Source organism: Homo sapiens, chromosome 6, assembly GCF_000001405.40.
Source record: "Homo sapiens chromosome 6, GRCh38.p14 Primary Assembly".
NCBI lineage: Eukaryota > Metazoa > Chordata > Mammalia > Primates > Hominidae > Homo > Homo sapiens.
This window is the reverse complement of record NC_000006.12, coordinates 4,642,352-4,662,786: the sequence shown is the minus strand read 5'-3', so window position 1 is coordinate 4,662,786 and position 20,435 is coordinate 4,642,352. Positions and strand designations below refer to the sequence as shown.

The window sequence follows — 20,435 nt, the reverse complement described above, 5'->3', positions numbered from 1 at the left end:
TGTCTGGTGGGACGGAAGATCACTCCCCAGCCTGCCACCACGTAGTCCTCCTCCCTGAGCTGTGTGACAGGGAATGTGGTTAAAGGATGAATGAGTCATGTGGAACTGCCACATGGCTGGTCCTCCTTCCCCAGATCCTGAGAGAGCCTGCGGGGAGCTCGGTGGGCATTTGTTAAAGGGCCCTCCATCCAGCCCAACGCCCCAGATTTTCCTTTTCCCACATTCCTGTTAAAATAGCAGATGTTCCAAGACACGCCTCTGTGTGCCTGTGCCCGCTCCGGTTCCTGTCTCTGGAGTGCGTCCCCCAGCCCCCAACCGTCTGACCCAGCTAGAATCCAAAACAGTCTTCAGTCCTCTCCAGTAACACTTCCTTCATTCTTCTTCATGTTGGCCTCACCCATTTATTTATTTATTTACTTGTTTGTTTATTTATTTAGAGACAAAGTCTGGTGCAATCTTGGCTCACTGCAACCTCTGCCTCCCAGGCTCAAGCCATCCTCCCACCTCAGCCCCCACTCCGAGTAGTTGGGACTACAGGCGTGTACTGCAACACCTGGCTAATTTTTGTATTTTTTGTAGAGACGGGGTTTCACCACATTGTCCAGGCTGGCTTCGAACTCCTGAGCTCAGGCAATCCTCCCGCCTCAGCCTCCCAAAGTGCTGGGATTACAGGCGTGACTTGCTGCATCCAGTCTGCACTCAACCAATTATGAACTCAGAGTTCTGGGGTCATTAAAATTTTTTTTTATTTTTGGTAGAGAAGGGATCTCTCTGTTTCCCAGGCTGGAGTGCAGTGGTATGATCATGGCTCACTGTAGCCTCAAACTCCTGGGCTCAAGTGATCCTCCCATCTCAGCCTCCCCAGTAGCTGGGACTATAGGCATAAGCCACCATGCTCAGCTAAGTTTTTAATTTTTTTTTCTTTTAGAGATGGGGTCTAGCTATTTTGCCCAGGCTGGTCTCACATTCCTGCCTCAGCCTCCCAACAGGGAAGACAGGTGCCTATGAGCATGTACAGCTGGGTTCATCTTTAGTACCTGTTGGTGCTGCTGCTGCTGCTTTCTAGACACCAGGCCGGGAGCTTCACCTCTCTCAAGGCAGACTGCCTAACTGAGGGCTTCCCTGGCCTAGGCTGTGAAAAGGGAAGAGTAGTAGCCCCTGCCTCCTGGGACTGCTGGGGGGCTATACAGGTAAACCACGGAAGAGCGCATGCTCAGGGCCTGCATGTGGCTGGGAGCTGGCTCAGGACTCCTGGGAAGAGGTAGCTCACTTTGCACATAAATAGGCAGTGAGAGAGGCGGGGGACGCACGCAAAGCTCAGAGCCCAGGTATGTTGGGAAGGGGCCACGGAGTCATGTGTCGTGGTTGGTGGGAGCCAGGGCTGCTGCTGGTTCTCTCCTGATAGCTGATGGCCATGGTGATGGGGGGCAAAGTCCAAATGGCTTGTCTGGGCAGAAGTCCCTGTGGGGGTCGATCCTGGGCCAGAGGAGGTGGTGCTCATCCTCATAGAGAAGAGCTTTCCTGCAAAGAGAGCTGTCCACAGATGGACCGTGGAGCTCCCTGGCCAGAGAATGGGAGGAAAGCTGAGTCTCCACAGGGTCGGGCCCCGGGAGCACAGTCACCGTCTCCTGGCTTGTCCCCAGCGCTGCTGGAAGGGTTGTACTGTACAGTGGAAGAAGAATGTAAATATCGTTGCACACAGGGATTATTTTTACTGGTAGACGTCATGGTCCTCCTCCTCCTTTAAGAACAAGTGTTGGGTGTGGGGTGGGGGCAGATCAGACCCTGCCTGTTGGAGACAACAGCAGAGACGGAACTGTGGGAGGAAGGGAGGCCAGGACCAGCCAAGAGGGCTGGCAGCTGGCCCCCCCAATCCCTGCTGCGGGGGCGTCCTAGTGAAGTTTCTTGCCTCCTCAGCCCTCTTGTGCCCTCCCGAGGTCTTGCTGCTTTTCAACCATCTCTGGCCTGAGTAAAGGTGGGGCGTGCCCCTGGGGTGGGAGGGGGGCTGCTGGGCTGAGGATCCCACACAGGGTGGACCTTTGTTTTGTGGGGCGGGGTCGGGTACAAGGTGGGCCTGGCATGGAAAAATTAAAGGCCGCCAGAAGGGAGTTGGCAGGGGCCGCCCGTGAGAGCCCATGCCTCTGAAGAGCTATTTATAAATCGGGCACAGGGCATTCAGCTTTCTGGGGCTTCCCTTCCTCCAGGGCATGGTGGGACCAGCGCTCCTGCCCGCTGGGGCTGGGGTTGCCAGGCTCCTCGCCTGGCCATGGGAGCTGCATGGTGTCATAAATGGACTCAAATGCCACAGTTAACTGTGGCTGGTGTCTATTTTATGTCAGAATATGGAGGGGTGGTGGGTGGTGGGCAGGGTGGAAGTGGAGTTTGCTTTTTTCCCCATTTGCTGAGGACATTATTTTGAACAAAAATATGTTCAGAGGGTTGAGAGAGAGCATCAAGTAAAGCTGTTTTATTGACAGTGAAATCATAGCTATTGAGGTTAACTCAGGCTGTTCATAAAAGCAACCCTGAAATAAGTGGCTTAAGAAAACAAGCTGCAGAAAGAAACAAATGAGAGAATTCTGCAGTGACCTTACAGGAAGAAAGTGTGGGCTGGGTGGAGCCCCAGACTGCAAGTGAGAAGCTCTGGGCTTAGTCCCAGTAATCGCTCTTACTGGTAGTGTGACCTTGGGCCAGTCACTTAACCACTAGGCCTCCATTTTTCCCTCTGTAAGTTCACCTAATCATCACTGCACTGCCAGCCTCACTGAGGTGCTATAAGTCTGTCTTGGTAAGCAATATTAAAATATGGGTTTTGCCCCAGCACTGTGGATCATGCCTGTAATGCCAGCACTTTTGAGGCAGTAGGATGGCTTGAGCCCAGGAATTTGAGACCAGCCTGGGCAACATAGCAAGACCCTGTCTCTAAAAAAAAAAAAAAAATTAAGGAATCATGCTGCTATAAAAACACATGCACACGCATGTTTATTGCGGCACTATTCACAATAGCAAAGACTTGGAACCAACCCAAATGTCCAACAATGATAGACTGGATTAAGACAATGTGGTACATATACACCATGGAATACTATGCAGCCATAAAAAATGATGAGTTCATGTCCTTTGTAGGGACATAGATGAAGCTGGAAACCATCATTCTCAGCAAACTATCGCAAGGACAAAAAGCCAAACACTGCATGTTCTCACTCATAGGTGGGAATTGAACAATGAGAACACATGGACACAGGAAGGGGAACATCACACACTGGGACCTGTAGTGGGGTGGGGGGAGGTGGGAGGGATAGCATTAGGAGATATACCTAATGTTAAATGATGAGTTAATGGGTGCAGCACACCAACATGGCACATGTATACATATGTAACAAACCTGCATGTTGTGCACATGTACCCTAAAACTTAAAGTATAATAATAAAAAATGTAGGTTTTATGAAAATCCACTGCTTTTTCTTGCTGGCTATGTGCACAATCTCTGTTCTACTTTTTGAAAACTGGCATCTTGCTTCTCCTGCGTCATGCCTGTCTATGATGCTGTTTCTCTGTCTCCTCAAACAGCCATTTGCTCTTGCCTCATGGCTGACTTTGGGGTGGTGCTGGGGAGGCTGGCTTTCTTAAGAGAAGCATGTGAAAATTTCTGTCTCTCTACCCCTCTGTCTGTCTCCCTGTCTCTCTCCCCACTCTCTTCTCATTCTCTTTGTGGTTTGAAGGATCAAATTCAACAGAAACTTCATCCTTCCAGTTGCTCCAGCCCAAACAAAGCCCTGGATCCCCCAGGACTCCTTCTGTCTTTCTCACCCCAATTCAATCCACGAGTAAATCCTGTAGACTGCATCTTTCAGGTTTGCCCAGAATGTAAGCCCTCCTCCTCCACGGCACCACCTCATCTGAGCCGCCATCATCTCCTGTCCGGATTGCTGCAATAGCCTCCTAAAGGGTCTGCTTCCACCGTCACTCCTTCAGTGCATTTTCAACATAATAGCAGGGTGATCCTGCAAAAATGTAAGCCAGATCCTGCCACTCCTGTGCTGCACTCTCTTGAGTCACAGTCGAGGTCTGGCCCCTCATTTCCTACTCTCCTTCCTGTTACCTGCCCTCTCCCAGTCATACACTCCTCTGTCTCACCCCTGCACATGCCAGTGGTGTTCCCACCTCAGGGCCTTCGCACTTCCTGCTCCCTCTGACTGCGCTGTTCTTCCTCCAGTCAAAAATGGGTCTCTTTCTCTCACCTCCTTCAGGTCTTCCTGAAATGTGAGGTCCACCCTGACCATCCTACTTAAAATGGCATCACCCACTTCCCCTGGGTCTTTCTTGTTTTAGTTTTCTCCGTAACAGTTACCACCATCTATCATACTGTATCTTTTACCTATTTACTGTGTGTCCCTCCCATACTCACCCTAGAACGTAAGTTCCATGGGGCAGCGATTTTTCTTAATTGTGTTCACTGTCCATTCTCCTTTAACATCTCCCCTTATAAGAGGAGTTAGGGAGTAATCCCTCATTTTCTTTTGTCTGGAAGAATTTTTCTTTTGTCCGGAAGAATTTCTTTTGTCTAGATGATCTGGTCCTTGAAAATTTCACCTCACCTGTAAACCCATGGGGGCTTGGTACTTTTTGTGTGTGTGTGAGAATAATTTTTCTTTAATAATTATAGCATTATTCAAGTTTTACCTTTTGGTTTTTTGCTTAAGTCAGTTTTAATAAATTATGTTTTGTAGATATTTATCTAAGTTTTCAAAATTTTTGGCATATTGTTTTTGGTCATATTCTCTTATTATGTATTATGGATACTTTATGTATAACACCCCCCATTTCATTCATAATATTACTTATTGTGACTTCTATCTTCTTGTCTTGACAAATCTTGAAAAGTTTATCTGTATTGTTAGTTTTAGTGGCGAACCAGTTCTTAGCCTTTTGATTCTTCTCCATTGTATTTCTGTTTTCTACTTTGTTGATTTTGGCTCCTATTTTTATGTTCTGAATTCTAATGTCTTTGAGTTTGTTGGTTCCTCCTCACTTCTTAAGACTAACACTTAGCTCAATAATTTTGGGATTTTATTTCATTCTAATATACGTAATTATCTATTAACTTCCCTCAGAGTACACGTTGGCTGCATCCGAGCAATTTTGATATTTGCTATTTTTATTGTCATTCAGTTTTAGATATATTAAATTTTTTATTATGATATTTCTCCTTTAACCCATGTGTTGTTTAGCAGTACTGCTAAATATGTAGTCATTTAAAATGTATACTTTAAACTTCTAATTTAATTTCATTGTGGTCAGAGTTCCTAGTCTGCTTCATATCTAAGTTCAAAATGTGTTGAGACTTTCTTTATGGCTTAGTACATGCTCAAATTTTTGCATATATTCCATGTGTTCTTGAGAAAAATGTATATTCTCTAATACTTGAAGGAACTCAATATATCCATTAGATGTCAGCTGAGTGGGTCATAACTTGAAATTGAGTGGTTCATATTTTTAATATCCTTGCTGATTTTTTTGTCTTCATCTATCAGTAACTGAGAAAGCCATGCTAAATTCACTTAGTTCCAAAAAATTTTACCTAATATACTTGAGGCTATTTTATTTTGTGCATTTATGTTTAAAGTTGTTGTCTCTCTTTTTTTTTTGACAGTCTCGCTCTGTCTCCCAGTCTGGAGTGCGGTGGCATGATCTTGGCTCACTGCAACATCCGCCTCCCAGGTTCAAGTGATTCTCCTGCCTCAACCTCCTGAGTAGCTGGGACTACAGGTGCTCACCACCATGCCTGGCTAATTTTTGTACTTTTTAGTAGAGACAGGGTTTTGCCATGTTGGCCAGGCTGGTCTTGAACTTCTGACTTCAAGCGATCTGCCCATCTTGGCCTCCTAAAATGCTGGGATTACAGGCGTGAGCCACCATACCCGGCTTGTTCTCTTCTTGATGAATTAAAGTTTTACTACTTTGTAGTGATCCTCTGGATCCCTAATAATGTTTCCTGTCTAGGAGCCTGGCTCATATGATACTAATATGCTACACAGCTTTCTTTTTGTTCATATTTGCCTATCATGTCATTTTCCATCCTTTTGCTTTCAACTGTTGTATGTCCTTATGCTTGAGTGTCTCTTATAAATAGCACATATCTGGATTTTAAAAATTCAATTTGTTAATCAAGTGAGTGGTGAATTCCTTCCAAATACATTTATTATTTATAATTATTATATTATATATTATAAATATAATCATTTATAATTATTTAATTATTGATATATTAGACCTGTTTCTACCTTCTTTATCTCAAGTTTTCTTTTTTTATCTTTTCTTGCTTTTGAAAAAAATGAATATTAATTTCCCTCCCTATGAGATAAGAACTTGAGTTTAGCCATCCTCCTTACCCCTGGCCTCTCTTGAAGAGGATGTGTTCGTCAGCTGTCTTGTTGATTCCGCCTCTGAGCTTGTTTTCCTGAGAGAGTACTGTACTGGTTTTTCCTCCAGCTCCACACCGGAGAGTTCCCAGGGGCTCAGGGAGGAGGGGGTGAATGCATGAGGTGCTGAGCTCCCTACTCTGAAAAACAACTCCTAAAATCAGGTCCTGACTTTTGCCCTCTAGAGAGAAGCAGAATTAGGAGAGATAGATGCTCTTAGAATATAATTCTCTAGCCCTGGGATTTGGAGAAGGAGTGAGAAGCCTGCAGCTTTAAAATTTCAACTTATATATTTTTTCAGCTCCTCACCCAGATTGAGTTTCTGCAAGGTCTGATTTTATTCCTGAGGACACGTGAAGCAGAGGCTCGAGGGCAGGAGCAGAACCCTGAGGATTCCTTGCCCATGTTATCGCCTGTAGCTGCTCTTGCTCTAAGCCCAGGCCTCCTCCTACAGCCACACATGTCCATAAAAGCACCCCCTTTTACTCTTGGGTTTCTTAAAATGTCTCAGTGCACATCTTCTAAGTTCCCAGGTTACCTTCAGGAAAGGGCCTATGCTGGAGATTGACAGCCCCTTGAAAGAAATCCTGCAAGTCCCTTTCTCTATGTGGAGCGCTCTCTTTTTGCTGCCACCCTACATTCCAGCCACGCTGGCCTCCCCGAGGAGCTCGGCCTGCACCTTGGAGCTGGTGCCCTTCGGGCTGCCCTCAGCTGCTCCTCTTGTTTTTCTCTCCTTAGCCTTTCCTTTATTCTGCAAAACCACATTCCACTCAACTCACGACTTATCCTGCAGAGCTTTTCCCAAATCATAGCAACTCTTGATCCAATGCACTCCACCTTGACCCAGATTTCTGCTCTATGGAAACCAGGGAGAAAGGTAGAGGGGAGGAGAGAGGCGATGATGAACCTGGTCATGGCGTTTGACAGCCCTTCCCCTCCCCCACAGCATCTATTTCCACTCTGCCCCTCCAGGACAGTCTTATTCACAGCATTCTGTTTCAGGGGAAGAACCATTTTCTTCAAAATCCTGATTTAAGAGCCTTCAGAGTCAGGGACACAGGGCTCAGTGGAAGGCAAGGATGATATTTGGGCTCAAAATGGGAGTTATAAGGGAACGTTGGGAAGAATGATGCTTCCTTGCATCAGCCTGCTTCCCTTGCTCTCTGCCTGGAACACCAGAAATCGGGATGTTCTTCCTACGCAGGGGGATGGAAAATTCACCCTTGGAGGGACTGTAAATTCTCAAGAGAAAACACCTTCAGACATTGACATTTTCCCAAAAGAAAAATCATCTTTCTGCTGCTTTATCATTTTCCGAAGGCAACCACTCAACACGTTCTACCCATGCTTACAGGACAGCCAATTTTAAGGCCCCTATCTTAGTTAAATATGAACAAACAGCTAAGGTGATCACCATGCATCCAAGGACAACTTTCAACATGAGAGGCTGAAAGTGGCATTATCTCTAGAAGGGACACACCTGCAGGGATTGGAGGAAAAGGAATCGAATTACAATAGCGTCCTTAGAGAAGATGAACAATTCGAGAACAAGAAAAAACTCTTTGGAATTACAGATAAGAAATCTGAAACAAAGACTTCAGAAAGAGTTGGAAGACAAAGGCCCTCTCCTAGAATGAAAAGACAAAAAGACAGACAACTATTAGATAAGATGGGAAGGTGTTTTCTGGAGTCCCAATATCTTTCTGGAGTTCTAGGAAAAGAGAATAGAGAAAACAGACAGGAAAAAATTTTAAATAAAGCGTGCATGAAAACTTCCTAGAAAAGGACTTAATTTTCCAGTTTTAATGGGCTTATTATAAGAACCTAATTTAGTGACTAAAAACTTTCAGAGGAATAAAAATGGTCACAAAGAATCAGGCATTAAGATCACATCAGGTTTTTCAGTAACAATGCTGAATTAATTCAAAAAATTGAATATTTCTAAAAATCTGCAGAAAAATTATTTCAGTATCTGTAGAGCTTCTCATTCGATTATAATGAGGGACATGCAAAATGTGTAAGGGTGAACTCATATCTCCTGGGCCTAAACTGCTTCCTAAATTTTAAAAATCAGTTTTATTGGGGTAGGATTTATGTATGCTAAAATTCACTAATTTCTATTTTACAAGTCTACTATTTGATGAGTTTCTCTCTCTCTCTCTCTCTTTTTTTTTTTTTTTTGAGACGGAGTCTCCTCTGTTGCCCAGGCTGGAGTGAAGTGGCACAATCTCAGCTCACTGCAACCTCCGCCTCCCAGGTTGAAGCAGTTCTCATGCCTCAGCCTCCTGAGAAGCTGGGACTACGGGCATACGCCACCACACCTGTGGCTAATTTTTATATTTTTAATGGAGATGGGATTTTGCCATGTTGGCCAGGCTAGTTTCGAACTCCTGACCTCAGGTGATCTGCCCACCTTGGCCTCCCAAAGTTCTGGGATTACAGGCCTGAACCACCGTGCCTGGTCTTTTTTCTCTTTTTTTGAAATTAAAAAGAAAATTTCTGGCCAGGTGTGGTGGCTCAAGCCTGTAATCCCCAGCACTTTGTGAGGCCGAGGTGGGTGGATTGCCTGAGCTCAGGAGTTTGAGACCAGCCTGGGCAACATGGCGAAACCCAGTTTCTACCAAAAATACCAAAAATTAGCCCGGGGTGGTGACATGCACCTATGCTCCAGGTACTCAGGAGTCTGAGGTGGGAGGATCACTTGAGTCTGGGAGGTGGAGGTTGCAGTGAGCCAAGATCATGCCACTCCAACTTGGGTGACAGAGTGAGACCCTATCTAAAAAAATTTTTTTTTAATTTGAATTTTAAAAATAAAATTTAATTCTATTTTGTTAAATTTAATTTAATGTTACCCAGGCTGGTCTCAAACTCCTAGGCTCAGGCGATCCATCTGCTTCAGCCTCCCAGTGTTGGGATTATAGATGTGAGCAACTGTGCCCAGTCTATTTGATGAGTTTTGACTAGTGGTTCTCAACCAGAAGTGATTTCACTCCTCCAGGAGATGTTTCGTAATGTCTACAGACAATTTTGGTGGTCACAACTTGGGAGGGGGTGTGAGTGTGATCCTCGTGTTGGATAGAGGCCAGGGCCACTGCTGAACATCCTGCAGTGCACAGTAAAGTCCTGCAACAAAGAACTATGCTGCCCAGAACATCAGCAGTGCCAAGGCTGAGAATCCCTAGTTTTGAAAATATACAATCATGTATCCACCACTACAATTATGATACAGAATGCTGCTATCACCCGAGAAAATTTCTTGGACTCCTTTTCAAGGGGATTAATTATCCTTTCATTTACTTCCTGAACCCTGACTACCACTGATCTGCTTTCCACCACTATAGTTTTACTTTTTCTAGAAGTTAATATAAATAGAGTCATATAAATAAATCAGCCCTCTGTATCCATGGGTTCTAAATCTATGGATTCAGCCAACCATGGATCAAAAATATTTGGGCAAAAACATTGTGTCTGTACTGAACATGTATAGACTTATTTTTTCTTGCCATTATTCCCTAAACAATACACCATGACAATGATTTTTGTTTACACTGTACTAGGTATTATATGTAATCTAGAGATGATTTAAAGGATATGGGAGGATGTGGGTAAATACTATGCCATTTTATATCTGGGACTTGAGCATCAGAGGATTTTGGTATGCAAGTAAGGTCCCAGATCCATTCCCCACGGACTACATAACTATAGTCTTTTGAGCGTGATCTCTTTTATTGAGCATAATGTTTTTGAGATTCATCCATGTTGGTGCATATACCAGCCATATATTCTTTTTTACTGCTATATATTGTTCCACTCTATGACTGTATCATAGTTTATCCATTCATCTATTGAAGGAAACTTGGGTGGGTTCTTTCCAGTTTGGGGCGATTAATGATAAAGCTGCTATGAACATTTGTGTCTATGACTTTATGTGAACATACATTTTCATTTCCTTTAAATAAATGGATAGGAATGGAATTGTTAGGTCATATAGTAAATATAAGATTAACTTTATAAGAAACTGCCAAGCTTCTTTCCAAAATGGTTGTACCATTTTACATGCATATCAAAATATATGAGAGTTCCAGTTGCTCCATTGCTTGTCAACACTTGGGATTATCAGGTTTTTTAAATTTTAGCTAATTTAATGCATATGTTGTGATATCTCATGGTATTTTTAAATTACTTTTTTTGGAATAATGTGTTGAATATCTTTTCATTTGCTTGTAAACTTTTGTATATCTTCTTTTTTGAAGTGTTTATTCAAGTCTTTCCCCTATTAAAAAAATGGGTTGTTTATATTGTTGAATATAACAATGAATGTAATAGTTGTTACGTAATCTGGATACAATTTTTTTCTCAAATGTACATTTTCAAATATTTTCTCCCATTCTGTGGTTTGCCTTTTTTTGTAAACATTGTCTTCAGAAGAATAGTGGTTTTAATTTTGATAAAGTTCCACATATTAATACTTTCTTTTATGGTTAGTGGTTGTTATGTTCTGTATGTGAGATATTTGTTAGATTGAGATTGGATATGTTTTCTTCTGGATGTTTTATAGTGTTATCTTTTACATTTAAGTCTATGGGTTAACATTTGTGTATGGTTTGAGGTAAGGGTCATAGGATATCTGATTGTTCCAGCACAATTTATTTGAAAATACTGTCTTTGAGCCATTGGCTTACCTTGTCACTTTGGTTGAAAATTAGTTGGGCATGTACATGTGAGTCCACTTCTAGACTCCCTAATCAGTTTTTTTGATCCATGTGTCTGTCTATATACCAATAGCTCATTACCTTGATTATTGTAGCAGTTTAGTAAGATTTAAAATCAGGTAGTGTTAAATCCTCAGACTTTTTTCTTTTCCAAAATTGCACTATTCTAGATGCTTTAAATTTTCATATAAACTTTAGAATCAGTTTGTCAATTTCTACAAAAAAATTCCTTTTTTGAGTCTAAAGATCAGTTTGGAAATAACTGACATTTTATAACTATTGAGTCTTCTTATCCATGAATATTATTTATTTCTCCATTTATTTGAGTCTTTTTATATCTCTCTGCTATGTTTCATGCTTTTCAGCATACACATCTTGATTATATTTTGTTAAGCTTATCATTAGGTATTTCAGGTATTTAATTTTTGTGTGTGCGTGTTGTAAATGTGAAGTTAAAATTTTTTTTTTATTTTCCAATTGTTTGGAAATACTGTTGATATTTAAATATTAACAGTATCTTGCAACTTTGCTAAGCCTTCTTATTAGTTTTAGTAATTCTAGTAGCTTTTTCATATTTCTCTTAAGATTTTCTATATAGACAATCATGTCTACAAATAAATAGTTTTTCTTCTTTTCCAATTTGGATGACTTTATTTGCACTGGCTGTGCCTTCTAGTACAATGTTGAATAGGAGTAGTTGAGAGTGACTATCCTTGCTCTGTTCCTCATCTCGGGGGAAATGTCCTGTCTTTCACCATTAAGTGTGATGTTAGCTGTAGGTTTTTCATAGATTTAAAAAAAAATCAGATTGAGAAAGTTCATTTTTGCTGAGAGTTTTTATCATGAATGAATGTTAAATTTTGCCAAATGCTTTTTCTGTGTCTATTGAGATGATCATAGGGTTTTACTTTTATTTTATTAATATGATGAATTACATTGATTAATTTTCAAATGTTAAACTAATCTTAAATTCCTGAGATAAATCCCACTTGATCATGATATATTATCCTTTTAAAATATTGTTTGATTTGTTTTGCTCATATTTTATTAAGAATTTTTGCCTTTATGTTCATGAAGAATATTAGCTATAGTTTTATTTTCTTTTAATGTCTTTGTTTTTAGTATCAGGGCAATACTGGCCTCATAAAATGGATGGGAAATGTTCCTTGATTCCTATTTTATAAAAATATTTGTATAGGATAGGTATTATTTCTTACTTAGGTATTTGTTAGAATTCATAAGAGAAGCCATCAAGACCTGGATTTATAATTGTGAGAAGATTTTAAATTACAATTGAATTTGTTTAATAGATATAAAGCCTTATCATATTTTATATTTCTGCTTGTGCCAGTTTTGGTAATCTGTATCTTTTGAGCAATGTGACCACTTATGCAATTTTTCAAATTCATTGGCATATACGTGTGTATATTCTTCCCTATATCGTTCTTTTAATATTTGTAGGATCTGTGATGATGTTCTCTCTTTCATTCCTGATTTTGGTAATTTGTGTCTTCTTGCTCAGTCTAGAGTCTTTGTGATTTTATTAATCTTCTCAAAGAGCCAGCCTTTGGTTTCATTGGTTATCTCTATTGTTTGCCATTTTTGGTTTCTTTTTACAGGAGAGGAAATAGTAGTGATAGTTTACCCTTTGTCTCAGTGGTAAACAATATTAGATAACCATAACAATGTTAATACCGACTCAGGAACACATGACTCATGATTATGATGTAACCCCATTTTGGAGTATGAGGAAAATGGAGGAGGAGAAGTAGTTTATGAAAACAATATCCTTATCTTTCTAATAGGAAGTCAATAATACACTAAAATAGATTAATCAACAAGTTGCAGAATAAACGTATCATTTTGAAATGTGAACGTAAATACTGGAAGAAAGAGAGGAAGGAAAGGAAAATGGTAGTATTCAGCAAGAAAATTGGGGAGTTAGGTCAGAAACTTTTTTTTTTTGTATTGAGTATTTGACAAAATATATGAGTGTTATTATGTTGATAAAATAAAAATTAATCTAACACTTCAGTATCAGAATGGGAAAAAGTATGGCTGGAAAACAAGGTTTTCCGAGCCTGGGAGAGGTTACAGACATGATCTCGGGGAATATGCCGTGACTTTGAGTAGTGTGGAAAGCCGCCTTTTATTTTCAGTTAGTTAAAAAAATTCTGCATTTGTTGTATTCTGATGGAATTATTATAAATGTGAAGTTATAAAGCCTGTTGTAATTGAATGAGGAATTGCCACATAAATATGTCCTTAACATCATATTAGATAGTTCTTTACAGTTTTCAAGGAGATTTCATATACATTGCCTTCTTTAAACCTCACTTTAGCTCCGTGAGCCCAGTGTTATTATAGACAGCATCTTCAGTTTGTAGCTGTGTTTCAGCTAAAAGATCTGCTGAGGGTCACACTGGTGGTAAGTACCTGGGGATGGACTACAAACTCATCACTGTCACTAAGAACTCCATAATATACATAGTTGAATCACAAAACAATTTTAAACATGTTGATTTATTTATCTGCTTGTTTTCATAACTATAACCTGATGACTTGAACAGTTGGTAGCAGGATAGAACATATATTGATGTTGCTTTGAATACATTTCAATATCTGTGCAGCAATTACTTGCTGTGTGACCTTGGGAACATTATTTAATTTATCTGAGCCTCTTTTTCTCCACCTGAAAAAGGATATTACTACCTTTCTCATAAGGTTGTTCTTCAGAGTTAACGTAAGTAAAATGCTTATGACAGTACCTAGAAGTTAGTATGGACTCAATAATTGCTTAATATTAGATCATTTTTGTTAACTATACAAATAACTAAGATTATTTGATAATTACTGCCTGCTATCTTTTGTATGAGAACCGCAATACTGCCTCACTATCAAATGATGATATTGAGTTCTCCTAGTGAAATGCTCAGTTAAAAAAGTGACACGTTCATATGTGAACATCAAAGTTAAACTGAAATTACTTTAAAAATTAATTTACTTTTGAAGATCACCTTCCTAGTAATGTGAGTCACTAAGAATCTGAGTACATAGATATAAATCCTGCTTTTGTAAGATAGCATATATGCAGAGAAAAATGTGGATAAGTACATATCAAACAGTTGACAGTGGTTATCTCTAAGGATTGGGATCATGGTAGGGGTGCATTGATCTAATTTATTTATTGTTTTTAGTGCTTTTTTAAAAAATAGAAAGCATATACTGCTTTTATTATCTGAAAAAATATGATTTAAAAATGTTTATGTAAAAAACAAGCCTTACAGAAATCACAGCCTTATCAGAAATGTTTGACATGACTTGCCCCACACCGGCTTCTAGTGAAATGCTCTGAGATCTCCCTGAGGATTGACATCCCGCTGACAGGTCTCTAGTTCTAGGATTTCCAAAGGTACCGATGAACCACTTGTACCATAGAATTTGCATCTGGTTTCCACGTAGGAGGTGTGTTCTGTGGGGCTCCCTGGGCTTGGTAGGCAAAACATTTTAGGAACAGAGAAAATGTGTTGGCTTTAAAGAAGAGATTTCACTGCTGGTCTTTCCAGCTATGACCTGTGACCGGCTGTGGGCATTACTGTAGTCAAAGCCATTTTAGTTAAACATATTTATAAGCAGAGTTAAAAAGGGACTGTGGCTGCTATCTCACACCCCAAGATGACATTCAAGCTTTGCGTTTTCAGTTATTCCTAAAGTTATTTCTAAAACCAATGCTGCACTCAATTTTAGTCTCTCTCTCTCTCCCCTTCCTGCCCATCCGGGGTCTAGCCAAAGCTCCCTTCCTCAACTCCAGCTCCATCTCTCCAGGTTTTCCCTCTGCCCGGTTCTCCCGGGAGCGAGAGGGGGTGGGGACAGGCGGCTTTGGCGTCAACAGCAGCACGAGCTGCGGCTTCCTGCCTCCCCAGGCGGCTTCGGTTCCAAGGGTGCCTGGCTGCCTAGCGTCCCGCAGTGTCCAGGGCTTTCAGACCTCACCTAAGGTCCTAAAGATGTCCTCATTCTCCAGAATGGCACTGCCTCTACCAAGGAGGACACTTTGAAGTGTTGGTCCTGGCTACAGGCGCCCTCTGCTACTGACTGGTACCTGTGAGTCTATATAAAAGCCATAGAGCCAATTCCTCACACCCTCAGCAAATGAAACCTGCCCGTGGGATGCCCTTTGGCTTTTATTTCACGAGTGATCAGAAGCTGGCTACCGCCCTGGTGGCAAGTGTGAGCTTACTGTCACTTACTGTCTGGGCAGCAGTTTATGACATCTGTATGGTTTTAACTCTCAACCTTTACACTCTCTTGAATAACAAACTTGAAAAGAGATGACTCCCGGGAAGAACCTCCCCAATTTTGTTGTTGTTGTTTGTTTGTTTTTCTTCTTTGAGATGGACTCTGACTCTGTTGCCCAGGCTGGAGTGCAGTGGCGTGATCTCGGCTCACTGTAACCTCTGCCTCCTGGGTTCAAGTGATTCTCCCACCTCAGCCTCCCAAGTATCTGGGATTACAGGCACCCGCCATCATGCCCAGCTAATTTTTGTATTTTGTATTTTTAGTAGAGATGGGGTTTTGTCATGTTGGCCAGGCTGGTCTTGAACTCCTGACCTCAGGTGATCCACCTGTCTAGGCCTCCCAATGTGCTGGGATTATAGGGCCAAGAACCGCCTTTCACAGGAATTGAGAACATTTAAAAAGGATGTCATAGGCCATGTTCCGAAGAAAGGGAACCTTATGAGATTATTGATGACAGATTCTGAGGAATTAGCTGAGCTTTCTGATGGGTCATCAGAAATGTGGGTGGGAGACAAAGGCTGTTCCAAAGTGTTCCAGGCCAAGGTCAGAGCAAAACTCGTGCATGTGTTGGGTATCTGGCCCCATTCGAGGTTGCTTTGGCCGGACGTGGTGGCTGACGCCTGTAATCCCAGCACTTTGGGAGGCTGAGGTGGGCAGATCACGAGGTCAGGAGTTAGAGACCAGCCTGGCCAACACAGTGAAACCCCGTCTCTACTAAAGATACAAAAATTAGTTGGGTGTGGTGGTGTGCGCCTGTAGTCCCAGCTACTCGGGAGACTGAGGCAAGAGAATTGCTTGAACCCAGGAGGTGGAGGTTGCAGTAAGCCGAGATTGTGCCACTGCACTCCAGCCTGGGTGACAAAGTGAGACTCTGTCTCAAAAAAAAAAAAAAAAGTAATGATGATAACAATAATCAACTAATGTTTACTGGATACCTGCTATGTGCATGACCTTACTCATTTGGGTCTCACCACAAGCCTAGGCGAAGAAGCCCAAAGCACGTGCCATCCAACATCCCCTAGTCTAGTCCTTATGCTTGCTCTGATGAGATGAGCACAAGGCTGGCTGCAGAGGAGAAAGTTCTTTCCAAGGCTTAAGGTACCCTTTATGTCCTCAGCCTTTATTGAGGGTTGGTGTGAGAAACAGCCCTGTGACAAACATCTCTGAAGGTGTTCTTTATCTGTTATTGACTGCGGTCCATTTCCTTGTCTAGTGGCTTTAAAAGAAAACCATATGTCATAAATTCCTTTGGGAGTTAAAGGTTGTTTCTCTTGATGGTTTTTTGTGCTTCCTTTCATTAGACGGATGTCTTGGTCTAAGGCCTAGAGATTCTGATTCAGTGCGTTTGAGTAGGGTGAGATGACCAGACTTTGAAGATGCCCCCTCCCTTTGAGTCCGAGGCACAGCCAGGGCTAGGAACCCCTCCTGTGGCTCTTGGTCAGCTCCCCCTGTAGTCCCTGATTGGGATCACAGAGCTAAGATTTGTGCTCCTTTTACCTAGGTTTTCTGACAGAATTTTTGCACCCTTTTCATGTCTTGTCTCTTTTCTTGTCTCTTGTCTCTTGCTGTTTTGCTTCCCTTCCCTTAATATTTTTAGAATTCATATATCATTTATTGTAAAATACCTTGTCTGCTTTCAGCATAAAACCAAATGAATGAAAGAATGGGTGTCATTCTCCACCTAAAGTTTCCAACAGGATTTTCCTTAAAACACCTCCTTATTCTTTCTTTCTGTCATTCTTTCACCTACTTTGCTGTTTTTAATTAATTGCTTGACAAAGTAAACATTTATTTACTTTTGAAAGACACTAATGTATTCTAAAGGGAAACTGGCTCCCTCTCAAATGTCTGGAGCCATCATAATTGTGAAGAGACACTGTTCCAGGAGAAGTAGTTCAACCTTGAGATAATGAGAGGGTTGTCTGGAGAGGACCATAATGAGTTCAAAGGAAGGTGCTGGAATAAATGCAGACACAGAGGTTGTTAATGCAATGTAGAGATTGTCTCATCTCATGGCCCTCCCACCCCATTCCACTGATGTCAGTTTAGTTACTTCCCTTGCTTGCGGTATGTCAACATGCAGCAATTATTTTGTTTTTGTTAACAATGATAGGACTTCAGTGCGATGAACTTGGCCTGCATCCCTGAATGCTGCATTTACAACCAGCTTTCCTTGCTTGACAGCAGACTTCATTGAATAAAAAGAGGCAACTCCAAAGGTTATTGCAAGATTACAGCATAGCAGGTCTGGACAAAGGCACTGTGGAATGTGGGAGGATGACTGACTGGGGCCTGGAGGAAGTGACATTGGCTTCAGTGGGGCACTGTAGAGTCACATAGTAATGCACATGTGACCAGCTGCAGGTGTTTGCTTGATCCTATCTTCTACATAAGAAAAAGAACTTTAAAAAAATCATTTAGTGTGACAAAGGCTTCAGTACCATCAGATTATTAAAATTATCCTACTGATGGAATGGTTTTTAAATTAAATTTTGTGTAATGTTGACAAACCTCTATCAATATAGCAGGTTTCATCTGCTGCTAATCAGCATAAGTGACTTACAACTAAGTTAATCAGCCATTTTCATTCCAGAGGTTGATCTTAATCCAACTGTTTATTAATAATTCGAGTGCCCCTCTCTCTGTTTTCTGAAGGAATCGGTTGTTTATACTTTTCAAGTCCCTGCTCCAGGTTAACTTTCTTTTTCTTTTTTTTTTTTGAGATGGAGTCTTACTCTGTAGCCCAGGCTGGAGTGCAGTGGCATGATCTTGGCTCACTGCAACCTCCGCCTCCTGGGTTCAAGCGATTCTCCTGCCTCAGCCTCCCAAGTAGCTGGGATTACAGGCGCATGCCACCACGCTCAGCTAATTTTTGTATTTTTAGTAGAGACAGGGTTTCACTGTGTTAGCCAGGATCCGGGTAAACTTTCACACTAGATGGTATCACTGTCTTTTGGAAATTTACCACTGAACTGGGATGATACACCACGTAGGAAAAAATCATTAGCAATACAAAGCAGTGTAAGTTAGCAGTGCTAACAGGTGGTAGAAACCCAAGTTGTCAGGAATTGAGAAGCAGGCATGACCACATGGGTTGGGGAGAGGAGGGAGTGATTCCCTAGAGATGGCACCTAGTCTATGGGAAAGCCACATCTTTGTATGCTGTAGGAACCCTCTTCTCCAGCCATGGTGGCCATGCATCTGTGGAATTTTCCTTTCCTGCTTACCACCACACCTTTGCCAGTATGATTTTTTCCACCTAAAATGTCTAACCTTTTTGTTCACTTAACACAATTCTCCCCAAGTTTCGAAACTCAGGTTGTGGAGGTCCTTGACTGTGTGGCTTGGAAATGTGCACTTTCTGTTGTTGGAAATCACTACCTACTATTGAATGAGATTGTGAAATGATACACATGAACCCTAGCTGTGTTATAAGAAGAGAATTGTTTCCAGACATGCAATACAATGGGCCTGTGCCTCCTGTTTACTCATTTGTTGTCACAACAGCCCGGTAGTGTGTTGACAGATATGAAGGAACACATCTCACACATGAGCGTGAAAACCCAACCATCAGCTTATGAACTACAAAAGGATTATTATTTATTGTTTTTCTCTTGGACATCTGAGAAGGGGCTAAAGAGTTCACAACCAAACCTGGTTGCATTGTGCTTTGCTTTATTGCACTTTGCAGATAGTACGTTTCTTACAGATTGAAGTTTTGTGGCAACCCTGTGTGGGGCAAGTCTATCAGCATGATTTTTCCAGCAGCCTTTGCTCACTTTGCGTCTCTGTGTCATAGTTTGGCAATTCTCACAACATTTCAAACTTTTCCATCATTATAATATCTGTTCTGGTGATCTGTAATGTTACCATTGTAATTGTTTTGGGGGGCCACGAACTATGCCCATAGAAGATGATGAATGTAATTCACAAATGCTGTGTGTGTTCTGACCCCTCCACCAGCCTGCTGTTCTCCCACCACTGTCCCTTTTCTTGGGCCTTCCTATTCCCTGAGATACAATGATGTTGAAATTAGGCCAATTAATAACCCTACAGTGGCCTCTAAGTGTTCAAGTGAAAGGAAGAGTTTCATGTCTCTTATTTTAAATCAAAAGGTAGAAATGATTAAGCTGAGATAGCTGAAAGCTAGGCTCTTGTGCCCGAGAGTTAGCCAACTTGTGAATGCAAAGAAAAAGTTCTTGAAGGAAATTAAAAGTGCTACTCTAGTGAACACACAGATGATAAGAAAGCAGAACAGCCTTATTGCTGATATGGAGAAAGTTCTAGTGGTCTGGATAGAAAATCAAACCTGTCACCACATTTCTCTGTGCCAAAGCCTAATCCAGGGCAAGGCCCTAACTCTCTTCAATTCTCTGAGGACCAAGAGAGGTGAGGAAGCTGCAGAAGAAAAGTTTGAAGCAACAGAGGTTGGTTCATGAGGTCTAAGGAAAGAAGCCGTATTTGTAATTTAAAGGGCAAGGTGAAGCAGCAAGTGCTAATGGAGAAGCTGCAGCAAGTTATCCAGCAGATTTAACTAAAATTGATGAAGGTGGCTACATTAAATAGAAGATTTTCAATGTAGAAGAAACAGCCATGTATTGGAAGAAGACACCAACTAAGACTTTTATAGCTACAGAGGAGAAATCAATGCCTGGCTTCAAAGCTTCAAGGACAGGCTGACTCTCCTGTTAGGGGATAATGCAGCTGGTGACCTTAAGTTGAAGAAAATGTTTATTTACTATTCTGAAAACCCTAAGGCCCTTAAGAAGTATGCTAAATCTACTCTGCCTGTGCTCTATAAATAGAGCAACAAAGCCCAGATAACCCCTCATCTGTTTACAGCATGTTTTACTGGATATTTTAAGCCCGGTGTTGAGACCCACTGCTAAAAAAATTCCTTTCAAAATATTACTGCTCATTGACAAAGCACCTGGTCACCTAAGAGCTCCGATGATGTACAAGGAGAATAATGTTTTCATGCCTCCTAACATAACATCCATTCTG

The 20,435-nt window shown here is 41.5% G+C and overlaps 1 pseudogene, besides 5 other annotated features; it reads right to left on the bottom strand.

The window, feature by feature from the left end:
• Positions 1,527 to 2,345: an enhancer, noted in NCBI's record as "H3K27ac-H3K4me1 hESC enhancer chr6:4660676-4661494 (GRCh37/hg19 assembly coordinates)". NCBI's record gives its function as "activates a minimal SCP1, AML or CMV promoter by ChIP-STARR-seq in primed H9 embryonic stem cells {active_cell/tissue: H9 hESC(primed)}" and the evidence as "EXISTENCE:reporter gene assay evidence [ECO:0000049][PMID:30033119]".
• Positions 6,489 to 7,060: an enhancer, noted in NCBI's record as "H3K4me1 hESC enhancer chr6:4655961-4656532 (GRCh37/hg19 assembly coordinates)". NCBI's record gives its function as "activates a minimal SCP1, AML or CMV promoter by ChIP-STARR-seq in naive H9 embryonic stem cells {active_cell/tissue: H9 hESC(naive)}" and the evidence as "EXISTENCE:reporter gene assay evidence [ECO:0000049][PMID:30033119]".
• Positions 7,061 to 7,632: an enhancer, noted in NCBI's record as "OCT4-NANOG-H3K4me1 hESC enhancer chr6:4655389-4655960 (GRCh37/hg19 assembly coordinates)". NCBI's record gives its function as "activates a minimal SCP1, AML or CMV promoter by ChIP-STARR-seq in naive H9 embryonic stem cells {active_cell/tissue: H9 hESC(naive)}" and the evidence as "EXISTENCE:reporter gene assay evidence [ECO:0000049][PMID:30033119]".
• Positions 14,838 to 15,132: an enhancer, noted in NCBI's record as "tiled region #6592; HepG2 Activating DNase unmatched - State 4:PromP". NCBI's record gives its function as "activates a minimal TATA promoter and a strong SV40 promoter by Sharpr-MPRA in HepG2 cells {active_cell/tissue: HepG2}" and the evidence as "EXISTENCE:reporter gene assay evidence [ECO:0000049][PMID:27701403]".
• Positions 14,838 to 15,132: a silencer, noted in NCBI's record as "tiled region #6592; K562 Repressive DNase unmatched - State 1:Tss". NCBI's record gives its function as "represses a minimal TATA promoter and a strong SV40 promoter by Sharpr-MPRA in K562 cells {active_cell/tissue: K562}" and the evidence as "EXISTENCE:reporter gene assay evidence [ECO:0000049][PMID:27701403]".
• LOC124901549 (uncharacterized) lies at positions 18,933 to 19,025 on the bottom strand (annotated as a pseudogene).
• Positions 19,026 to 20,435: the final 1,410 nt, after the last annotated feature.